Source organism: Homo sapiens, chromosome 12 (assembly GCF_000001405.40).
Source record: "Homo sapiens chromosome 12, GRCh38.p14 Primary Assembly".
NCBI classification, from domain to species: domain Eukaryota; kingdom Metazoa; phylum Chordata; class Mammalia; order Primates; family Hominidae; genus Homo; species Homo sapiens.
Genome location: NC_000012.12, coordinates 125,335,897 through 125,357,779, shown reverse-complemented (window position 1 = coordinate 125,357,779; position 21,883 = coordinate 125,335,897). Strand labels below are relative to the sequence as shown.

Genomic DNA, 21,883 nt, shown 5'->3' with positions numbered 1-21,883 from the left:
ATCAAGTCCTGGAGGGAGACAAACATCCCCATCAAGGTCTCCTTTAAGCCTCTGATGACTTCCAGTGGTGACTCAGTGTGGCCCTGGCCTCTCCATAGCACATGCTCTTCTTCTTCTACAGAGACCAGGCCACAGGTCCCCGGTCTTCGGCAGGTGATGGTGCCTACTTAGAACTTAATGGCATTGTTTTTTGTTGTTGCTATTTTATGTTAATTTATTTTTATAATACCCTTTCATGTTAACAAGTAATATTGGTTTCCATTTATGGTACCAGATGTTAGGTTTCCTTTCTAAATGCATTCATATGAGTTTTAAAAAGTGATATGATTTAAAGACAAAGAGTAAACAAAAACTGCACAGAAGGCACGGGTACATGATTTAACTTATGAAGGTGGCACATGATGGTATCTGATATGACCCAAAAAACTCAAAGCCAGTGTATGAATTACTCAAGTTTAGGATACACTGGCATAGCCCATTGTTTGATTAGAGGTGACGAATCAGTAATCACATTACAGGTAGGAGGAAACTTTTGCCAGAATTGCATCCCCTATGTGTCCTAACTTTCAATATTTATGAAATTGTTACTTATTTATATCATGAATTCATACAATCTTGACGATTCATTTATTCATTGCCATTGTTCCCTTTATCTGGGAACAATGCCTCACAATACCTAGGATACATTCATTCATTCAACAAGTATTTATTGAGCACTTACTATGTGGTAGACAATGTTCTAGATCCTCAAGATACATCAAAAATACAGGAGACAAAGGTCCCTGCCCTTATGGAGATGACTTGCTAGCAGGAAAAGCAGACAATAAACAATGATATCTTACGTCGTTAACACAAATATAGTAGGTCAAAAAATCAGGACAGGGCAAGAGGCCCAGTGGGGCAGGGGGTGCAGGATTAAGTAGGAAGCTAAGGGTGAGTTATTGAAGCCGGTGCAGAGGCCCTGGGTAGGAGCATGCCTAAAGGCCAAAAAGGGGGTGGGCCAGCATGGCTGTTGCTGAGTGGGGAGAGGAAAAGTCATGGGAGATAACAGGTCCAGACCACGCAGGGCCTTGTAGGCAACATGGCGGCCTGAGCCTTAACTCCAGAACAGACTACACGGGCAAAAATGGAGGCAGGGAGACCTCAAGGGGGCTCCTGTAGATGTCCAGCCAGGAGGGGATGCTGGCTTAGACCTGGGTCATAGCAGTGGAGGTAGATAGAGTCTATATATTTCAGAGGAAGAACTCTAGAATTTACTGATGACTCAGCTGTGGAGTGTCAGAGAATAGGGAGAATCAATCGTGGTTACTGGGTGTTTGGCCTGAACACCCAGGAGGAAGGTGGCTTCCAAGTTAAAGGAAGAGTCTGACCTGACCACAAAGTTGACACTTCATAAATAGTCACTTAAAGCATAAACTGTCCCCACGTACAGATTGGGAAACTGTGGCACAGAGAAGTTAAGTAACTTTCCCAAAGTCACACAGCTGGTATGTGGCAGAGTCAGGATTCAAACCCAGACAGTCTGGCTTCAGAGTTCACATTCTTAACCACTGGGCTCCACCGTCTAAGAGACGGAGAGGTCAGCCCAGGAGGCTCTCTGTGTGAGCTGAGAAAACCCTATTTTAATAAATCAGAGATAAAGCTTCCCAGGACCTCTCTCAGCCCCAGAGATATTATATTTGGAGGGGGCAGAATTTCATAATATTTCAAACTTTCCTGGAAGTGTAGCAAAGACCTACCCCAACTCCAGCCTGGCACTTCCCTGCCACCAGCCCCCAGCCCCCTCCAAACCCCACTTGATGACCCTTTGCTGAAGGGTTTTTTCAAGGCATGGGTGAGATGTACGTGCTAATGCTGCACAGAATCTATCTTGGTATTAGAGAATCACCGATTTAATTTTTGTTCAGACGGGCCCCTCTACAATGTGCAGTCTGAAATAGCAGCATGGCACGTGGAATGGTACACATCTGTTTCTTTTCCATGTGTCTCCAGCTCTGAAATTCGATCTCAGCAAATCTTGTGCACATTCACGCTTTGATCTGGGTCCTCACCTAAGCCAGAATGAAATGTGTCACATCTCATTCATAAGAGACATGATTAAAACAGACAATCAGTTACGCTGGGAAATAACACATTTCCTTAGGCCTAAGAAAAGTATCTTATTTCGAGAGACTGAATATACAAATGGACAACGGCCAGACAACATATAACAATACAACTCTGATCTTCCACCGTGCAGCAGCCAGGAAGTCAAGCCACAACCTCTGCAACAATCAGCCTAGAATAGTGATAGCCTGGTCAATGACTCCCAGCTCTTCTCTTTTCTGCCTCTGCTTCCAACTCCGGGCCAACCAGAGAAAGCCAACTGTGCTCCCAAGCCCATCACATAAAATGTCTGCTTCTAGCTATCCTGCCTCCAGCTCCTCCAGGCCAAAACCCTCCAATCCAAGCACACCTGAAGCTTTCTCATTCCTCTGCCTGCCTTTGAGTCTCTGCTAATGCAAGTGCTGGTGACCAACCCCCACTGACACAGTAAGCTCTGAGTAAATATTCCTCTGTTTGTTCTCATTTGGGTGGTCTTCATTTATATCCACAATCTCAATGCATTTTTCTCTGGCCATCAAATAAAGCTTAATAAGTAATCTAAATGCTGACCCAGAGAGCTTTAGTAGTGAATAAAGATCAGTCCCCAACCAGACAAGCAGAAGAGCCCAGAAGAGTGTTTTAAAGTGGGGGCTCTCAACTCACACATGCAGGCCTGCACCCCAATTCCACCATTTCCCCAATGCATGACCTCAGACAGGTAACCGCTCACCTCTCAGAGTCGCAGTTTCCATATCCATAACATGGACGTGACTAGTACTTACCTTGTATGCTGGCTGTGATAACACAGTGAGGGAATGTATAGAAAGGGTAAATGCAGAACCTGGGACAAGTACACATGATAATTTAAAAGTATGAATTAACAGTATCAATTAACACATATTAATTATAGCATAAAAGAGAATTGGTGTGCCAGGCACTCTTGTAAGTGCTTTACATGAAGTAACTAATTCACTCCATAATGCCAGCGATAATGGAGGGTGGTTTCACTCCCTGTGATGCACCCACTGGTCACTTCTGACTCCCACAAACACGCATAATGAATTGGCAATGCCTGCCTTTATAGATGAAAATCTAAACTCCCTTTTTAGCATTGCATCCTTTTTTATCCCAGTACTGAATCAGGGTTTCAAAATTCAAATACCCTCAGGAGCCAGATGGGTGACATATCTGAGTGAAATGGGCCAGGTGTGAGACAGAAGGGAGTGGTGGGGACAGGGGTGAATTAGACAGTTTATGATGCAGCTAAAGGGGGTGAACTACAACCAGCTAGTTCTAATTTGCTAAATCTTCAAAATTTTCAAAGAAAATGGTATATAAAATCTCCCAGTTGTTAGAGATTGGTAACTCTCTTAAATATTTGAAAGAATGCCAGGTGGGCTAAATAAGGCACACCTCTATGGGCTGAATTTGGCTACCGCCACCAGTTTTACAAACTGTTGAGTAGATGTTTTTCCTTTAAGTAAGCATCAAGTCCCCACAACTAAAGTTTAAACAAAGATTTGGGAATTTGAGAACATCCTTTGGCTGAACTGCCTCCTCTGGTCCTCTCCCTCTCCTGTCGCTTTAACTCCAAAGGCCAAGAATCTAAAATCTTGGTGGGTTCCCTAAAGGAAGAGGCTGCTGGAGGGCTGCAGACTCACAGTCCAAATTCCAAAGGCCCCAAGGATGCTATTTCCAGGAGGCTGACAGTTCATTGCTTGATTTTTCAAGGCCAAGTCAGAATTAAAGTCCATTTCAGCTCTAAAATTAACTTCTTAGGGAAAAAAGAAAAATACCTGAGGGGTTTCTACTTACCAAGAAGATAATACTCTAAGGCTTTCTACAGTCTGGATGTTGAGTCCTCTTCTAGTCTCATCCCTAAATGAATCTCCTCTTCCCTAAATTAACCCTTAGCTCTGGCCTGACTGGGCCCCTCCTTGTCTGTTAGAGGCAGTGAGCTGTGGGGGATGAAGGGCACAAGCTCTATGGTCAGATCACAGGGGTTCACACCAACCACTCCCTACCTGTGTGACCCTGGACACACTACTTGACTTCTCTGTGCCTCAAAGAAAAAAGGGAATAATAATAGCACTTGCCTCTTTCAGTTGTCTGTTGACAGAGTTTAATCAGTTAATTCATGTAATGGACTTACCACATGGGCTGAACCATTCTAAGTCTCAATGAATGTTAGCTAATGCTGGGTATGCCACTGCCCGGCCTGAAATGCCTTTCCCAGCCAGACTCCAAGGCTTTGCTGACCACCAGACCATCTGCCCTCCTTTTCCTCTAACTTCCCATCCAAAATATTATCTCTATATCAGGAGTAGCAAATAAGTTTAGTCTTATGTGCCAACCCCCCACAGCAGTGATAGGGGCTGCCTGAAGGGGTGGGTTCAATGTCCTCCATGGCAGAGGGAGTGCTGAAGTGCTGCAGTTGATTGGTAATGTCTGCCATGGCAGAGGGAGTGCTGAAGTGCTGCAGTTGATTGGTAATGTCTGCCATGGCAGAGGGAGTGCTGAAGTGCTGCAGTTGATTGGTAATGTCTGCCATGGTAGAGGGAGTGCTGAGAGGCAGAGGCAGTGAAGCCATCCCTTGGCCATTCTTGGTCTACAGCAAGCATATGACACTGCCTTATACTAAAAGAATCTCTGTGGGGTTGGATTTCAGGCTTCTCTAGTTTCTATCAGAGCCAAGAACTGGTTTTAGACCACCCCACCCCTTCCAGTGGAGTGACTAGCACAGGGCTCAGTCCACACCAAGTTTTGAATCAGTAACAGCCAAAGGCTAAATCAAGAGGCTCCAAATAGAATCTTGGCTTCTTCCAGGCTACAAAACCTACTTGGGATCTGCCAGAGCCTCGGAATCCTGTTGGTGGGCATCTGAATAAGCACAACTCCAAAAAGGCATGATCAGCCTCAGTCAGGATTGGAAGGAGCACACTAGACTCACAATGAATTCTCCATTTCTCCTTCTTTGCATCTGTAAAGCAAGGTTCACTTATGTTGGAATTTATATGCCCAGTTCCTGAATGCCAGGGAAACAACAATAGGCTAACATTCACTGAGGACTCACAATTTGCCAGGCATTGTTCTAAGAACTTTATTAAATTATTTAATCTTTACCACCACCCCAGGAGATAGATTTCATCACTATCCTTATCATACCAATGGGGAAACTAAGGTCCAGAGACGATAAGTGACTTGCCGAAGGGCACACAGCTGGTATATGGCAAAGCCACCACTGTCTCCTACTGATATCCATTTTTGTGAGCAAAATTAGGAAAAGACAGCCTTGTCCCCCCAGCACATAGAAGTCCCCTACTTTTAGCGATCCTAAAACCAAATCTTGATCATACAGATAGAGGCTGCTGACTCATTTTAACAAAGAATTATTTACTGCAGAGAAAGAAATTGTCTTAGAAAGCTCTTTCGTATATTTAGAAGTTGGAATTCATTTACAAGGTTTCCACTGATATGCAGCATTGTAGGATTCTGCCTGACACATCAAACAGGGCAGGGATAAGGCCAGACTATCATGTGAGAGCCTTAAAGGCCTTCCTGAAGAAGAAGCACTTGAACCTCACAGTCTAGAACGCAGAGTTCTAGAACAGTTGTATTTAATCCTGGTTTCACAACAGATTTACTTGGGGGAGCCTTCAGAAAATATAGATGGCAGCAGGATCCTTGTTTGGTTCTGTCAATAGGGGGTGCTAGAGGGAGACTGGCAGGTGGAAGGTGGGAGAAAGAATTTTCTCCTCTTTCCATTGGCTTCCTATTTGCTTCTTGTTCTGATGAGTGGCACCCAGCCTTGCTGCTTCATGACAGCAGCTGCAATTCACTTCCATAATAGCAGATGAATCCAGTTTGCAATATTTCCAACCATTGAAAAACCAGTTTTACGACTCCTAGCCCTGGTGACACCAGCACAGGCTGTGCCCTCTTCTCAGGGGTTTTAGTTGCTGCTCTACAGGGTCCCTGCTCCAAGCTCCAAGTTTTTGAAACTTTTAACTTCTTCCCTTATTCTCCCAGCTGGAGGGATGATAGCCGCTTTCTGCAGCTGCCTCTTCCCTAGTACCTCAGTATTGCCTTCTTGACTTTTCAATTACCTAGTTAACATTTCTTTATATATAGTTTATGGTTCTTTATATTAAATTCTTGCTTTTAATATACTTATGTTGTCTCAGTCTCTTGGCTGGACTTTGTTTCCCCCAGTTTTGAACTGTTTCTTTGTCTGCCCCCGTATTCCACTCATCCTTAAAGATCTAGCTCAAAATGAAAAATTTTCTGCCCACTGCAACACACATAACTCTCTTCTGTGAATTCCTGTAGACTTTAGGGTCTCTACTACTCAAGCTTCAACATGATCATATATTGCAGGGGTTGGCAAACCATGACCCCTGGGCTAAATTCAACCTTCTGTTTTTGTAACTAAAGTTTTATTGGAACCCAGCCAAGCCCATTCACTTATGGCTGCTTGCATGCTGCAACAGCAGAGTTGAGACATCACCAGAGAGACTACATGGCCCATGATGTCTTTTCACCATGTGGCCCTTTCCAGAAGCTTTCTGACCCCTGGTCTATTGTCTTGTGTGGGTCTCTATTTAATGTTTTGAATCTCTCACTACACTGGATACTGAGAACTGCAGAACTCTCAGCACATGACAACTCCATCCAAACCCCCGCACTAAAAAACTTCACCAAACTCTAATATGGCTTCTAGCAGCATAAGGCTAGCTCCCTAGGATCACTTTTGCACCTCTTATAGTACCTGCTTAAGAAAGCTCAGCATGGCCAGGGAAATTTCCTGTTTGTTCCAGCCAATGCACACCTGATGATACGCCCCTGACCTCCCTTTCCTACAGCATTTATGAGAAAGGGCTTACAATTGTAAACATCTGTCTCTTGCAACTAAGACGCATCCTCCCAAGCACCTGAGAGCCATTCTTCTGAAACAGAATCATCAGCAAAGACAATGCCTCTGTCTCACAGCCTCTGTGGGAAGATAAAATCCTAACTTTGATAACTGCCAGCCAGCAGACGCAGCTGGCCTCCTTGCACTCACACTGCCCAACCCTTTGTACTATGTCGCTTCTCTGGCTCTATGGAGACTCCACTCTTCCCCATCCCTCATTCTCCCTTTAAAACACACAGATCATAAATTGTAATGAAGCTCAGCTCTTTTACCTACTGTCCGTAGTTACTGAATAAAATCTGTTTTCACCACTTTAATGACCAGCTGTATTCATTTTTGACAATAGTCAGCAAATGATCAACACCCATTTTATTCATTGACAATTCATTGATTACTAAGAGTTGGCTTCTGTTCCATCCCACCTGGCAAAGCCTCTTACCTAAGAGTGAACTGGTCTGCCACAGAGCTACTGGTCAGAGAGACCAAAAAGGTGGCCGTGTCCCCTTCCCGGACTAGATTCAGAGGTACCGAGATGACCACATTCTCGTCCAAGCTCACCAGGGACCACTTCAGATCATCTTGGGTTGGGTAGACCACCACACTCCCAATCCTCTCTCGGGCTGGAAACGCTTGCTGGGGGCTCTCCAGGCCCGAGTGGATATTGTTCTCCCACTTGCCTTCCTCCTCCAGAGGACACTGGCCAGCCTTGTCAGCTGGGTAGAGCGTGAAGAAGAGCTCCATCGTGGTGCCCCCGAGCAGGGCTGGGATCTCCTCCTCTGGTTCCAGGTCCAGGCCTGAGCTGAACCACTCGGGCAGCAGCTCCAGCTCAGCCACACACAGCCCTGGGGCCCCTTGCAGCCGACAGCTGGCTGCCACTTCCCTGGCCTCAGGGAAAGCAAACATCTTGACACAGGGTAGATCTTCCGTAAGGTCACTGTCATCCCAGCCCATGCCAGTGACATAAAACAAGGTCTGCACTTTGGGTCTGTTGGAGTAGATGGAGCTGTCAAGGATGTGGGATTTCAATTTCCAGTTGAAGGGAAATTTGTCCATGTTTCCAAAGGCTGTAGATGTCAACAGGAGCTCCTGGGGGATTATCTTCTCCACTGAAAATGGGCCATAGCTGGCATTGATAATAGGGGGTGTCCTGGCTCGGTAGATGAAGAATGGCTCCACCCGGGCCTGCAGACTGGAGTTCCTTGTGAGGTCTTGGTTGGCTTCTTTAAGGAAAAAGGACTCCTCTGCATTGGAGATGTGCAAGTTCGTGGGGAGGTAAGCAGGGAGCGAGGAAAACTTCTGCAGGCTATCCACAATCCCTCGACTCTCTGTCACTGCACAAGAAAGGAAAGCAAAAGAATAAAACCGTGTTCTGAGATGTAATGAAATAAATGCAGTGCAGTCTCCACCCACCTCCCCAACAAACCGCCCACTGGCCACTGTTTCTCCCCCAGGTCTCATCACAGTGAAAGCCCTGTAATTATATAAAGTATGGTCTTCAGGATCTTCCCAAAAAGACAGCACAGAGTGGGGAGGAACCCCATTTACCACTGATCCAATAGTCTTGGGGGTGAACAGTTATCTTTCTAAAGGGAAAACATTGCTTCTGCTGCTTGTGCGAAATCATAAACTCAAAAGATCATGGTCATCGTTGTTCATCTACCCCACAGATAAAAGGTTGCGTACCTACCAAGTCTACCAATCAGGCATTGCACCATTGTATGTGACACGTTAGTGCCTTATTACTTTGATATTTATGCTGCTCTCTATCACTTCTATAAGTACAATCTACGTGGACATGATGACATCTCTACTATTGTTATTGAAAAGAGAGTGAAGCTACCGCTCAGCTTTCCTACTTCTAGAACTCTCTCCTTCCGAAATACCAATGAGAATGCACACAGGCTTATCTATCTACAAGGATGTTCACCACACCATCATTTAGAATTGCAAACAAACAAACTTAAGAACATATGTGCTGAGCCGGATGGCTGGATTTGAATCCTGGCTTTGCCACTTCCTAACTGAGCAACCTTCACCAAGTTACTTAGCCTCTCTGTGCCACAAATGTCCTCACATAAAGTAGGACAAACATGAATTCTACCTTACTGGGTTGCCGCAAGGATTAACGAGTTAATAAGTACAAAGCACCGCCAGGTGTGGTGGCTCACACCTGTAATCCCAGCACGTTGGGAAGCCAAGGCAGGTGGGTCACTTGACCCCAAGAGTTCAAAACCAGCCTGAGCAAAACAGTGAGACCCTGTCTCTACAAAAAAAAAAAAAAAACACAAAAATTATCCAGGCATGGTGGCATGTGCCTGTAGTCCCAACTACTTGGGAGGCTGAGGCAGGAGGATCTTGAACCCAAGAGGCGGAGATTGCAGTGAGCTGGGATTGCACCACTGCACTCCAATCTGGGCGACAGAACAAAACCCTGTCTCAAGAAAAAACAAAATAAAATAAAGCACATAGAACAATGCTGGCACACAGAAATGTGCTGTCAATATTCACCCACAATTATTATTTTAATCCATATTCAATAGGTTGATCAACAGGAAACTAAACATTTACAGTGGAATAATATGAAACTATTTCTTAAAATGCGGTAGAGCTACATAAACATACTTGAAAAGATGGCCACAATATGACATTAAGGATAAAAAAACAAATAAAGTGTAAAAAAAACAAAAATCAAATGTGTCATATTTGATCCTATTTGGTAAAGTTTTAAAATTCTACATATGTATATGTAAATGTATATATTTATGTTTGTGTGTCTATAGAACCCAAAGGCGAAAGTTTTTGTTTTTCACCATTTATGTTTCTGCTTTCTTTTAATTTGTTACAACCATGTATTATTTTGTTAATTAAAACACACAGCACATATACATAAACATGTACACATGAGTACATACATGTATGTGTGTTTCTTAGCATGTTTCTTTCAAATGGGAAAACACAGACAGCAAAGACCCAACAAGCTTTTTCAAAGTGAAGACAGCCCACCAGGAACCAGGGTCAGCAAAGCAGGCCAAGGGCAGACAGAGACTTTTTTTTCTTTTGCCCTAAAATGAACCTCCACCACTGGAGTCCTGTTTTCCAACCAGTGCAAGAAGAAATGGCACCTGACCGTGGCGCTTAAAATGCAGCATCCCAGAGGAGGAAACAGCAGAGAAATCCCACTCCATTCCCTCTGGCTCCTGGTGGCGTATTTTTCTGCAGCCATTAAAAATTCTGCAAAATATAGCTTCTATTGATTTAAACACTTTTTGGCCTGTTTGGGGCTGTGCTTGGTGAGCTTTCCTTTTCTAGAGGGTGAGAAAATCGTAACTAGATTGTGAAAAAGATACAGCCCACGTACGGGCTGATGCATCCTTTTTCTAAGAAGGCATTCAGAAAGCAAATTCTCCTCAAATGTCATCAACATGGCCAGTCCCTTGTTAGATTCATTACTCCAGCAGGGTAATTACTTATTCATTCCTCCAATTACTTACCTAAATATACTTATTATTCACTTATTATCTTTCCAGCATTGTGGCATGTAAAAATATTACAGGGACAATGCAGTCATGAATTCTGCCCCCAAGGAACTAGAGACTATGTTCAGCCAATCGGAAGCTCTGGAGGACACGGCTAACATTCAGAAAGCAATTCAGAAATTGGGCATTAAGATACTTAAAAATGCCCATCCCAGGAATTCACCTAGGAATTTGTTCTAAGGAAATAATCAAGAGATCAGGAAGGAGATTAATGTGCAAGTATGTTTATCGCAAGCATGATTTATAACAGCAACACACTGGAAGCAGCCCAAAAACCTGTCATTAGGGAAATGATCAAATAAGTGATTTAAGCCACACTATGTGTGTGACATTAAACTGCCATCAAAACCATGACTTCAACAAATCTGTAGTGTCAAGAGAAAACACAATATGTTAATTGAAAACGACCTCATAACTTCCTTTAAATTATCTCAAATCTATTTAAACACACGATATAGTCCCTTCCATAGTATAGACCTGGGTTTCCTCCAGAATGATGTCCATACAGGCTTGGCAGGATTTGGATCAAAAGATAGAGGAGGGAGAAATGATTTTGAAGAATTAGCCTCATCTAAAGTTTTAGCTGCTGCCGCCACCAAGGGGCAATCTGTATTTTGACAATGTCGAGCAATGCAGAAGCACCTCTCCAGATGAAATTTAAATTAGTGCTTTTTGTCATTGGTTTACTTCCCCTCTCCAAACCAGGAAGTGAAATTCAGGTGAATTTGCTCATGAATTACTTGGCAACAGGAACACCGTCAGCAGGAAACATCTGCCTTATGCAGCATCACAATATCTTTCAGCTGGGCTAAGCAGGCACACCAGACTTGGAAGTGAGTGGCTTGAATTTTACTTCTCGTAAAATTTAGGGGAAGTCCAACATAAGGCTTAAATTCTGATTTATTTACAAATAAGGAAAAGGAAATTAAAATAAATGCAAACTTTAATATGCTCTGTTTTCACTGTAGATTGGTTTATTGTTTTCTTTATCTTTTAAGAAGGTATTTTATACCTCTCAAAAATTGATTTACAAGAAATGTAAAGCTGCACCTTCTCTTCTTCATTGTAGCCAAAGCCTCCATTTTATCTGAAATAGCAGTGTAAGGTTTACACTCCTGTCCCACCATAACTCAAGCAAAATGCAATACAAATTTTGTCTGAAAGTGTATATGGAAAGCCATAAACGTCAGCTACCAGAGCCTTATTCTGTCCTCAAACCAGATTGCAACAAAATATAATATCTGAATTTAGGAGCATTTTATGAAGCCACGGGACTGTGTCCTGAGAAATACACTGAAAAGCTAACACTCTTCCCTTTAATCCCAAAATGTCACATAGTAACACCATTCTTTTTCCCATTGGCAGGTAGACCGTGTGGCCCGCGTTCTGAACGTGAAATGAGGCCCTATTCAGTCTGCCGATTTCCTAGAGAGGTATTTACCACTGGACAGAACGAGGTGGGCCCTGAGAGCAGGAAATGAGGAAGGAGCAATGAGGCCCAGCTGAAAAGAACTTCTCATCACTGCCCTCCTTATGAGCCAAGAAGAGAGTCAAGTTCAGGTTCAGAGAGAACACAAGGTGCACCAGACAGATGCTCTGTGGCTAAAGGATGCTCCGACTCAAAATACCAATGGCAGATGGCTCCAAGGAAGCCCTAAAGACAGCCTCGGCAGGAAGAGAGGGGAGGAGATTAATAATATTACTCCTAGAATGAAGCAACTCACAGGGTGCCGGGAATCCAGGCAGGGAACCTGTGACCCAAACTGAGTGAGTGGATGTCACTGCTGTGCTTAGCACACAAAAAACATTCCTGGACATGGACCTTAGTCAGCACTGGTGGGACATGAATCCCTGAACCCCAAGATGGTACAATGTGAACCTGCTACAACATGGGACACACTCAGAAATCAGTCCCTTTCACTGTTAGCTCCAGTCATGTCTGGGAGCTAACTTGCCAGTCTTGTGGCTACTGGTGACCCACTTAGGGTACAGGCCCACAACATTTCTGAGGCTGAGTCTCCTCTAATTCACACAAAACAACTCAGGCATCGAGAGCCAGGTGTGGAAAGTTCTCTTTCCAGTGGGCCAGGTGGCCAGGTGACCAGGTCACCAGGTCTTTGAAAAACACCAGGAAGAGAAACTCCTTACTGGTCTGTCAAAATGTGGCCCTAACAACTGATACAATTCACTACCACCTGGGTACCGCGGGAATAATCACAACCCTTACTGATTTCATGGTCGTGAAGGCCAGGAGCCAAAAGGAGGCCTTTGTCAGCATTAATATTAGTTCAGGTTGGTGCAGTAAATGTCATCTCTGGCGGCGGCGGAATGGACTAGAAAATCTTCCATGCTGTCTTCCACCCAGAGTTCTCCCATCTATTTCCACAGCTCCACTTTGGTGCTGTTTTCACATAGTTCTCCTTGCCCTTACTTGCACTTGCTGGGGAAGCTCATCACCCACATGTGAGCAGAGAAGACTCCTTCTGGTCTGGATTTCTTAGCTCAGAGACACCTTCTCTGAGCTGACCAGCAACTTCAGCCATTCCACTCATGCCAATGTAGTTCCCTGCTCCCTTGCTCTCTCCTTCCACGTGTGTTCAGCCAATTGGAAGCTCTGGTAGAAGACTGGCGGGTAGGAAGAGGGGAGAACCCAGGGTATTTCACCCTGTGTCTCTTCCCTGCAGCATTCACTGGCAGAAACTGCATCTCCTCTGTGGTTCTAACCCCATATAAAACCCCCACCATGGTCCCAGTTTCCTGTAGCAGGTTCTAATGCTTAACCCAGCAGCTTCTGGGTTCTGATAACCTAACCTCTTCCCCTTTTCCCTCTAGCCCAAAAGGTGACAACAGCTTCCAGCTCCTGCTGTTCTTAATTTCTAAATCACTTTACCATCCCCAGATGGTACTTTATCATCCCCAATTTGGTTTCTCAGATTTTCCAGCACCAGAGTAACTAATTCCCTTTATTAAATTCCCTCTGTAGAAATAACTAGAGTGATTTGTTTTCCTGACTAAAGCATGACTACTATATCCAGTCACTCATCACTCCATCCTGCTATATTCCCTCAAAGCCACTATCACCATCTGAAATTAGCCTTTGTGTTTTTCCTTGTTCCCTTGTTTACTATCCATTCTGTCTACTAAAATTCAGATACCATGAGAGAAGGGGCTTTGATGTCCAGTTTACGGCACAATCTCCAGTACCTAGCAGGAGAAATTAAATAGATATTTGCTGAATGAATGTCCATCAATTAAGACTGCCTTGGTTTAACGCTTGAGAGAATAAATCTCTCTGTGTTCCTTCTGAGTTTCTCTCTGGCTTCTTCCCAGGGTTGTTAATAGATACTGTTTTTATTAACACAGCATTTGCCCATCACACTATCACTCCATTCATTTGGTCCTAAAATATCACACCACTGTGGTCACTAAGCTGGCAGCTATGTTTGCCAACCAAAGAGCTGCAATTCTCAAGTAGAAGGAGAAAATATCGCTTAAAGGGAGATGCACACCATTTACAGGCCAACACACCTAGGCATATTTACCAGTCATGCCAGTTGATTATCACAGCAGTTGTAAAATAAGTTCTGTTAGACCGTTTTCAAAAAATTATGAAACTGAGGCACAGAGAAATTAAGCAATTTGAACATGGTCAACGTTAGAATTCATACCAGCTCTATCCAATTCCAAAGGCTTTCCACTTTCTCATATTACCTGAGGGCCTACCTGGCCTGGCAGTTCTACAATGAGGCCAAGGAGTTAACCATTTGGAGGTCATCTGAAGGAGCCGAAGCTTAATGCTCACAAGGCCAGGTTCATGGACACAATCCCTGTACACCCAATGAGGTTTTCATTGCTCCATGGTCACAGGTGACTGTATCTCCCATCCCAGGTACCTGTTACCAGCCTGGATTCTCAGGTAGAGCAGGAAAATAGGTACAGCTGACCCAGAGCATCTCAACCCAGCTGCTAGCAAAACAGCCAGTGATCCCTACCTTTAAGACACTAATAAAGATGGAAAAACATTACTACCTATAAACCACCTTACATATCCTGGAGCCTCAGGAGGAAGATCCTATGCAACAATTTGGGCCAAATGCTCTTGGATTAAGGTGGTCATTCATTAATAACAGCTGTGGTGGGGTGATGCTGTAAATTCCCAGTTTGCTCCTACCTCCAGCTGTATCCCTTTATTGTACCCTGGAGAACAGACCCTTCCACACCTCAGCATTTGAAACACGATTCATTCATTATAGAATCAAAAAAGAAAGGTAGCAAATACTTGACTACTGAATTCCAAGGCCACCAGTATAAAAGCAAGATGCAAGAAGTCAGGTGAGTCTCCACTTTTCTCAACTACATAAAACACATCATGGCCTGAGAAAGAAGAAGAGACACTACAGACAGGCAAGCAAAAGGCCACCAGTGGCAGCCGGTCATCAGGCAGGAGTGACACTTGCCTTTTGTCCCAAGATTCTTCTCACCCCTCAAGCTGGGCAGCCCTGCTTGGCCAAGCTGGGGCTCACAGGAACAGGAAGCAGATATGAGGCAGACAGAAAGCAGATGAAGGGCAAATAGGAAGTCAGCAGGAGCAAATGGGAAGCAGACAGGGAGAGAGAGGAAGTGGAAAGGAATCAGACACAGAACAAAATGGAAGAAGCAGATAGTTCCTGCTCCCAGCTCCAGCCTTGCAGTTGCCTCTATCTTCCCTTATAGGCAGGACCTAAGAAGGAACACCTGACTAAGAGTGGTTTTGCAGAGACCCACCCCTAGCATCACACACCAGAGAATAGAAGAGCAAGTTTAAAACTTAGAGCCTATAATGTAATAACTGACACATCCCACTTAACAGAGGAGGAAACTGAGGCACGGGGTGAGGGGAGTTAAATTACACAGTTAGTAAATGATGGTGGCAGGACAGGAATCCTGGAAAACTGGCTCTATGAATTGCACTGCTAACCATCCCCGTACAGCCTCACATTAAAGAAGTTGATGGGAGAATTCTTATTCCCAGAACTTCAGGATGATCCATAATTCCTTCTTGGTCCAGAAGGATACATGAAGATCCTAGAGCGGTGTATAAGGTAAAAACCTAAAAGGTGGGAATCTTAGATAAAAAGTCAGAATCCAGAGTGGCTTGTCTCTATCAGAGTCCACAGAATGGCTTTAAGTATCATGAAAAACACCTAGGTATTATAGTTTGCAGAACTACCAACAAAATAGAGAATATAGGCATAACATCAGGTCTGAGGGAGGAACAGAAGGAATTTAGTTTGGACACATTTGAGTGAAGGTAAAGGGAAGACTGGTAGAGAGATAGCTGAAAATATGGGATCATGGGATTCAGGGGAAGTGGACCCCTAATTTATCTCCCCACAAAAGTAAGCTCCTTTTACACAACACGCTACCTCATCAACTACCTCTGTATTCTCTAAGACAAGGATTCTCAACCCTGACTGCATGGTGAATGTATATATTATGCTTAGGACCTGCCCCCTCAGAGTTCCTTCAGATGGTCTCAAGTGAGGCCCAGTATTTTTCTGTGTTTGCTAGATGATTCAAATGAACAGCAGTAGAAAAAAGTTCATGGACACTACTGAGTAAACAGTAGGTGCTTTGTGTATACTCATAAAAATGAATAGTCAGGGTAAGGAGAGCCACCCTTGAGGGCAAGTCTTGGATCATGTGCCAGCAAGTCCATAAAACGTTAGAGGCAACTTTATAAATTAAAACAACAAAAAAGATGAAATATTTAAAAATAAGGGCAAAGGGAAAACAAGAATAGAATTATCATTATCATCATCATTTATATATACTAAGCATTTTGCAGGTATTAAAATCGTTATCATCATTAAGTCATCAGTTACTTAATCCTTGTAATAGATCAAACACCATTCTAAGCATTTTATATGTATTAACTTTTAATTCTGATAATCTTTTGACTATGAGGATTTAGTTTTTACCCCCACTCATAAATGAGAAAACTGAGGCACAGAGCAGTTATGTGACTTGCCTAAGATCACACAGCTAGTAAGTGGCAGAGGTGGAATTTGACCCAGGCAGTTTAGCTCCAGGCAGAGTTCTCACTATTAGCCATTATGTTCTGCTGCCAGAGGAAAGCTCGAGCAAGCAAAATCTACATTGTAAGAGCGTAATCAGTGACTAAAGGGAACTGCATATGTGGCTCTGAATTGCCCAGCTCTCAAAGCACAAGATGAGGTCACTATTTGGACACTGTCCATAAAATGAAAGCAAGAAGCAAAGCTTTTCCTGGCTCTAAGAGAAGTTCCTCTGGTGAGTGCTCCCAACTGGCCCCTGCAGGGCATGACATCATTTCCACAATACATTGTGAGCTTACGAGGATGCCTCCTCTGGTGGGCTCCATGTAAGATGGGCCTATAACAACTATGGACAACGAAGCAAAAGCAGTTTTCCAGAGGGCCCAGCGGTGTGTGCCAAGACTGCTGACAGCTTTTGGATAGTCTAGCTTAACAGAAAAAGAAAATCCAGAATGTGATTCTAGAAAACCCAACGTTGTACACTCTCCTCCTGAATGTGCTTTCTTCCCAAACCAGGCAAGGCTTTTAGAAAGAATCAGGTGGCAGAGCACTTGAGATTACATTCTGAGGCTAGAAATATTTTACAGAGACAGTTGAAGGCAAATGCACACAATTTGAAATACAACAGAGAATACCAACCTTTTGTCATAATTTCCACCACCATGTTATGCTGAGAAAGTCCTCCTCCATATCCCAGGATCAAATAGACACTACCTACACTTCTGCTTGCTTTCTGTGCATGGGTATGTATAGATGGGTGTGTCTCTTCATTTTTACACTTAATTCTTGAATCTATCTGAAATCTCTGCTGGTGTATAATGTGAAGTGAGAATCTGATAAAGTTGAAAATTAGCACGCACTGAATTCAGACAATAGAAAGATTTTATTTGACTTCGCAGTTTGAGTTTATTTTAATTGAATTCGAATGCTTTGTGTCAGGGTGCGCACACATTTTTCGCTATTCTCTAATTCACTAACACCCACTTACACCTACTCTTTTCATTCATTTCTGGTATGTGCCTCAGCCTTGATCTTAGAAATTGCTTTCCCAAATAGCTAGCCACTTTCTCCAAACTGTGTTTGTATAATTTCTCTCTCTGCCAATGATTTCTAATGCTTCCTGATTATGTTGTTAAGACCTGAAACATCCTCAAGTCTACTTGTGATTTACTTATTTAACTTCTTTGCTGTGTGACTACACTCATATGAATACATTGTAGCTGAAATTAATGTGGATTTACAATACAGTTTATTATGTAGGAGTGTTATGGACTGAAGTGTACCTCCTCCCAAATTCATACGTTCAAGTCCTAACCCTTGGCACCTCAGAATGTGACTGTATTTTGGGACAGGGTCTTTCAAGAGGCAATATAGCTAAAATAAGGCCATTGGGGGGTGCAAATATTTTTATCCCACGCTGTAGCTAGCTCCTCTGTCTTCTTGCACTGCGTTCTCAGCGTGTAACTTTGCTCCTCCTGGCTACACAGTGGCTGCTCTATCTCCATCCCTCTCAGGACACACCACCAACACCCACACTTGGATGCCTGACATTTCTCTGGAAGGTTAATTGTCCTTAGAGAGCAGTTGCCTTTTTGAAGAGCTACTGGGGAGAAGTACCAAGCATTCTGCCTTTTACTGAGGATGGGGGCATTGGAAGGAGGTCTGCCTGGAGTGGGTGTTCCATCGTCAGAATTTAGTTACTCCTCTTGCTTGCAGCCCTTTTCATGCTGTCCTTGCTCTATTTGCCAACATGTGGTCAAGAGCCCCCAGTTCAATTGGACTGGCGTCCTCATAAGATGAGGAAATTAGAACGGACACACACAGGGAAGACCATGTGGTGGCATAGAAGGCAGGCGGCCATCTACAAGCCAAGAGAGGCCTCAGAAGAAAACAAACCTGCTGGCACCTTGGTCTTGGACTTCCAGCCTCCAGAATTGTGAGAAAATAAATTTCTGCTGTTTAAGTGGCCCAATATGTGGTACTTTGTTATGGCAGCCCTAGCAAATTCATACAGAGGCATTATTGTTCTTTATCAAAATCCTATTAGCTAGACTTCCCTGCTTTCCACCTTCCAAGTTAACTTTAGAATCATATGGTCAAGTTGCCCATGTCAAAACTCAAATGGACTGTTAGCTGGAGGTGAGGATCTACACATTGAGAGTGTGGATGCCTTTCAACTTCCTGCCATATTTTTCTACGTATTTTCAAGTTTTCTAGAATGAACATGTGCTGCTTATTCAATCTAAGAGAAATATTGACATTCTTCCTTCAAAAAGAAGGATACGGAATTTACTTTTAAGTAGCAGACTGAGCACACTTATTCCCTCCATCTCCACAGAAACCCAAATGAAATAAAAGCATGAAAGTACAAAAAGGAAAAAACCTATTATCAAGAGAAATGGAGGGAGGATATCTGCAAATAAAATACTTCAACAAATTTAAGAAAGAGAATAAGCGGATAAAAGTGTGCTGATGGGCAGGACAGCAGAGGAAACCTCAGACCAGAACATTCTACATGTGCTGCCAAGGATCAAGGGGCTACTCTGCCCACTGGAGCCCAGAGGGGCTCCTGGCTACCTGCTGGCATGTACAGTAAGGACAGGTGTGAAATTAGAGCCGCAAAAAAGGAGAGTAACAGATTCTGAAGATGAGACACCCACTCCAGGCAGACCTCCTTCCAGTGCCCCCATCCTCAGGAAAAACCAGAATGCTTCATACTTCTCCCCAGTAGCTCTTCAAAAGGCAACTCCTCGACACTGAGTTAACCCTCCAGAGAAATGTCAGGCATCCAAGTGTGGGTGTTGGTGCTGCGTCCTGAGAGGGATGGTGACAGAGCAGCCACTGTGCAACCAGGAGGAACAAAGGTACACGCTGAGGACACAATGTGAGAAGACAAGAGAGCTGGTCACAGCATGGGATCAAAGAAAAAATAAGATCAAATCCTACTCGCCTAAGCCACTGTGGCCAGGGCTTCTGTTACTTGCAGCCAAACACAATCCTAAATAATAAGAAAAGAGAAGTACATGGCAGAGTGCCTGGCCCAAAGTAAGTAGGAAATAAATGTGTGTTGAAAGAATAAATGAATAAATGGAATAAAGTTGATATTTTTAATGCAAATAAGTAAAAACAATTAAAATGTGAAAAAGGGAAGAAGGTGTGTACATTAGCTAAATCCTCATCTTTTATAGAGAGAGCGCTGCTGTCTACATTTATTAACTCAAGAAGTCAAGGTAGATGAATAATTATAGAAGTCATCACCAGAAGAACTAAAACCAGAAATGGCTAGAAGTGGCGGACTTTGGGGAAGGAGATCAAGGATATAGAGGAATGGAAGACTATGGCCATTCTTTCAAAGTTATTCTGTACCATTTTAATTTCGCCATCTGCATGTATGACTTTGAGGATGAGAAGCCTTTGTGTGCAGGAGCCCAAACCTAGCCAAACAGGGGAAAATAGCATAGAACAGAATACCGGAAATTTGAGTATATGGATGAGGGGAGAACACCCTTAATCTAGATAACAAGACATTATTGGGCCTGTGGGTGAGATGGCCACCTGTCAAGGAGAGGAAAATCAAAAACTTCCTCGTCGACCGTATTGCATATGGCTGCTCAGGCAGGGACTTTCCCAGCCTCTCCTGTATCCACGTATGGCCACAAGACTTCTTCTTGAAAGAGAAGCAGGAGTGTCACATATCACATTAAAGCCAAAACAGGTAACTTTTACCTTCCACCAGTGAGAAGCAGGAAACACTGAAGCCCTAGGGCATGACAAAGCCATCACCTGGAAGGAGCCCCGGCCCTGGAACCTCCACGCGAGGAAAGCTGCCTGCCAAATGTGAACACCCACACTAGATGTGAGCAGGAAGCAATCTTTTATTGTGTTAAGCCACGCCTAGGAGTTTATTTGTCACAGCAGCTAGTGACAACCAAATAAACCAACATGGTATAGGCTTACGATTTGGACAGCAGTGGTCCCATCCCTACTAAAAAGTGGAAACAAATGGCATAGCACTTCCTTATGTAAACTGTGTTTTTGTGAGCAAGGAGGAGATAAAGACACTCAGAGAAACAAAAGTGAAGAGCTGTTCAGCCAACATGAGAGATTTCCATGCCATGCCAGATGCAGGGGGAGCATTATTAAATGGATTATATAGATTGCTTAGTGACAGTAATTTTGACCTCCTATAGGTACCACCAGCTGTTAAACAGTAGGAAATTTTGATGACCTTGTTATAATTTCCATTTATATTTATTCTAAATTGGACACCTTGGAGACTGTTTAAATAAGAGAGGAAAATTCACTGAGTAATCTTGACAGCTCTGCCACTGTGTGATTGGGAAGCAGCTGAGGCTTACAAAAGGCAGACAGACACCTGGGCTGGAGCCCCGGGTCTGCCATCAGTTGGATTTATGTACCAAGGCAAGTCACTTCATCCTCCCATTCGATTTCCCTCTGTGTCAAATGGGGTGTCACCTGCTGCCAGGTGCATCAGGGACACACCATGAGGTAACCCAGTGGCGTGACTTGTTATCGTGCAACTGCATGTATAGGAATGTCACAGGTGGTGCCTCTGCGGACTTCTCACTGATTCAGACTTGTTTCTCCTTCATCTGTTCATTACTGAAATCGAAAATGATTCTTTCATTTCCCAGAATGAAATGAAAGAATGCAAACCATGTAAGTCTAAACAAAATTGGAATTTAAGGTCAGTCATAGCTGGCATAGGCTGGCTTCAGGTCTGGCTGGATCCAGCAGTGAAGCAGTGTCATCACTGTGCATCTTCACAAATGTCATTTGAGGGAATGGTTAAAGAAGCCTCGGTACCTGTGTTGGGTGGAACACTACTCGGCAGTAAAGAGGAGCAAATGATGGACAGGCAGCATCATGGATAAGTCCCAAATACATCATGCTGAGTGAAAGAAGGCAACCTCAGAAAGCCACATGCTGTCCAAGTGCACTTACATAACACTCTAGAAAAATTGAACCAGAGGGATGAAGAACACATCGGTGACTGCCGGACAGAAGGGGCTGGAAAGAGTTTGACTACAAAAATTTTAAACAAGGGAATTGGAAGAGGGGTGATGGAGCTCTTCTGTGTCCTGACCGTGCCGATGCTTACACAACTCCATGCATTTGCCAAAAACTTAACAGCGCTCCATACCAAAAAGGGTGAAATGTACTGAAAATAATTTTTTTCCTTTGAGGGGGAGTCTTGCTCTGTCGCCCAGGCTGGAGTGCAGTGGCGCAATCTTGGCTCACTGCCACCTCCCCCTCCCAGATTCAAGCGATTC

At 43.7% G+C, this 21,883-nt stretch overlaps 1 protein-coding gene across 9 annotated transcripts in view; it reads right to left on the bottom strand.

The window, feature by feature from the left end:
• The window catches only part of TMEM132B (transmembrane protein 132B), a 475,992-nt gene that overhangs the window by 304,598 nt on the left and 149,511 nt on the right, over nt 1-21,883 (bottom strand). For all 9 annotated transcript variants that reach the window (NM_001366854.1, XM_047428245.1, XM_047428243.1 and 6 more), the window contains one exon: nt 7,437-8,328. In NM_001366854.1, the coding sequence (NP_001353783.1) occupies nt 7,437-8,328 (892 nt within the window). The remainder of the gene's footprint in view (nt 1-7,436; nt 8,329-21,883) is intronic.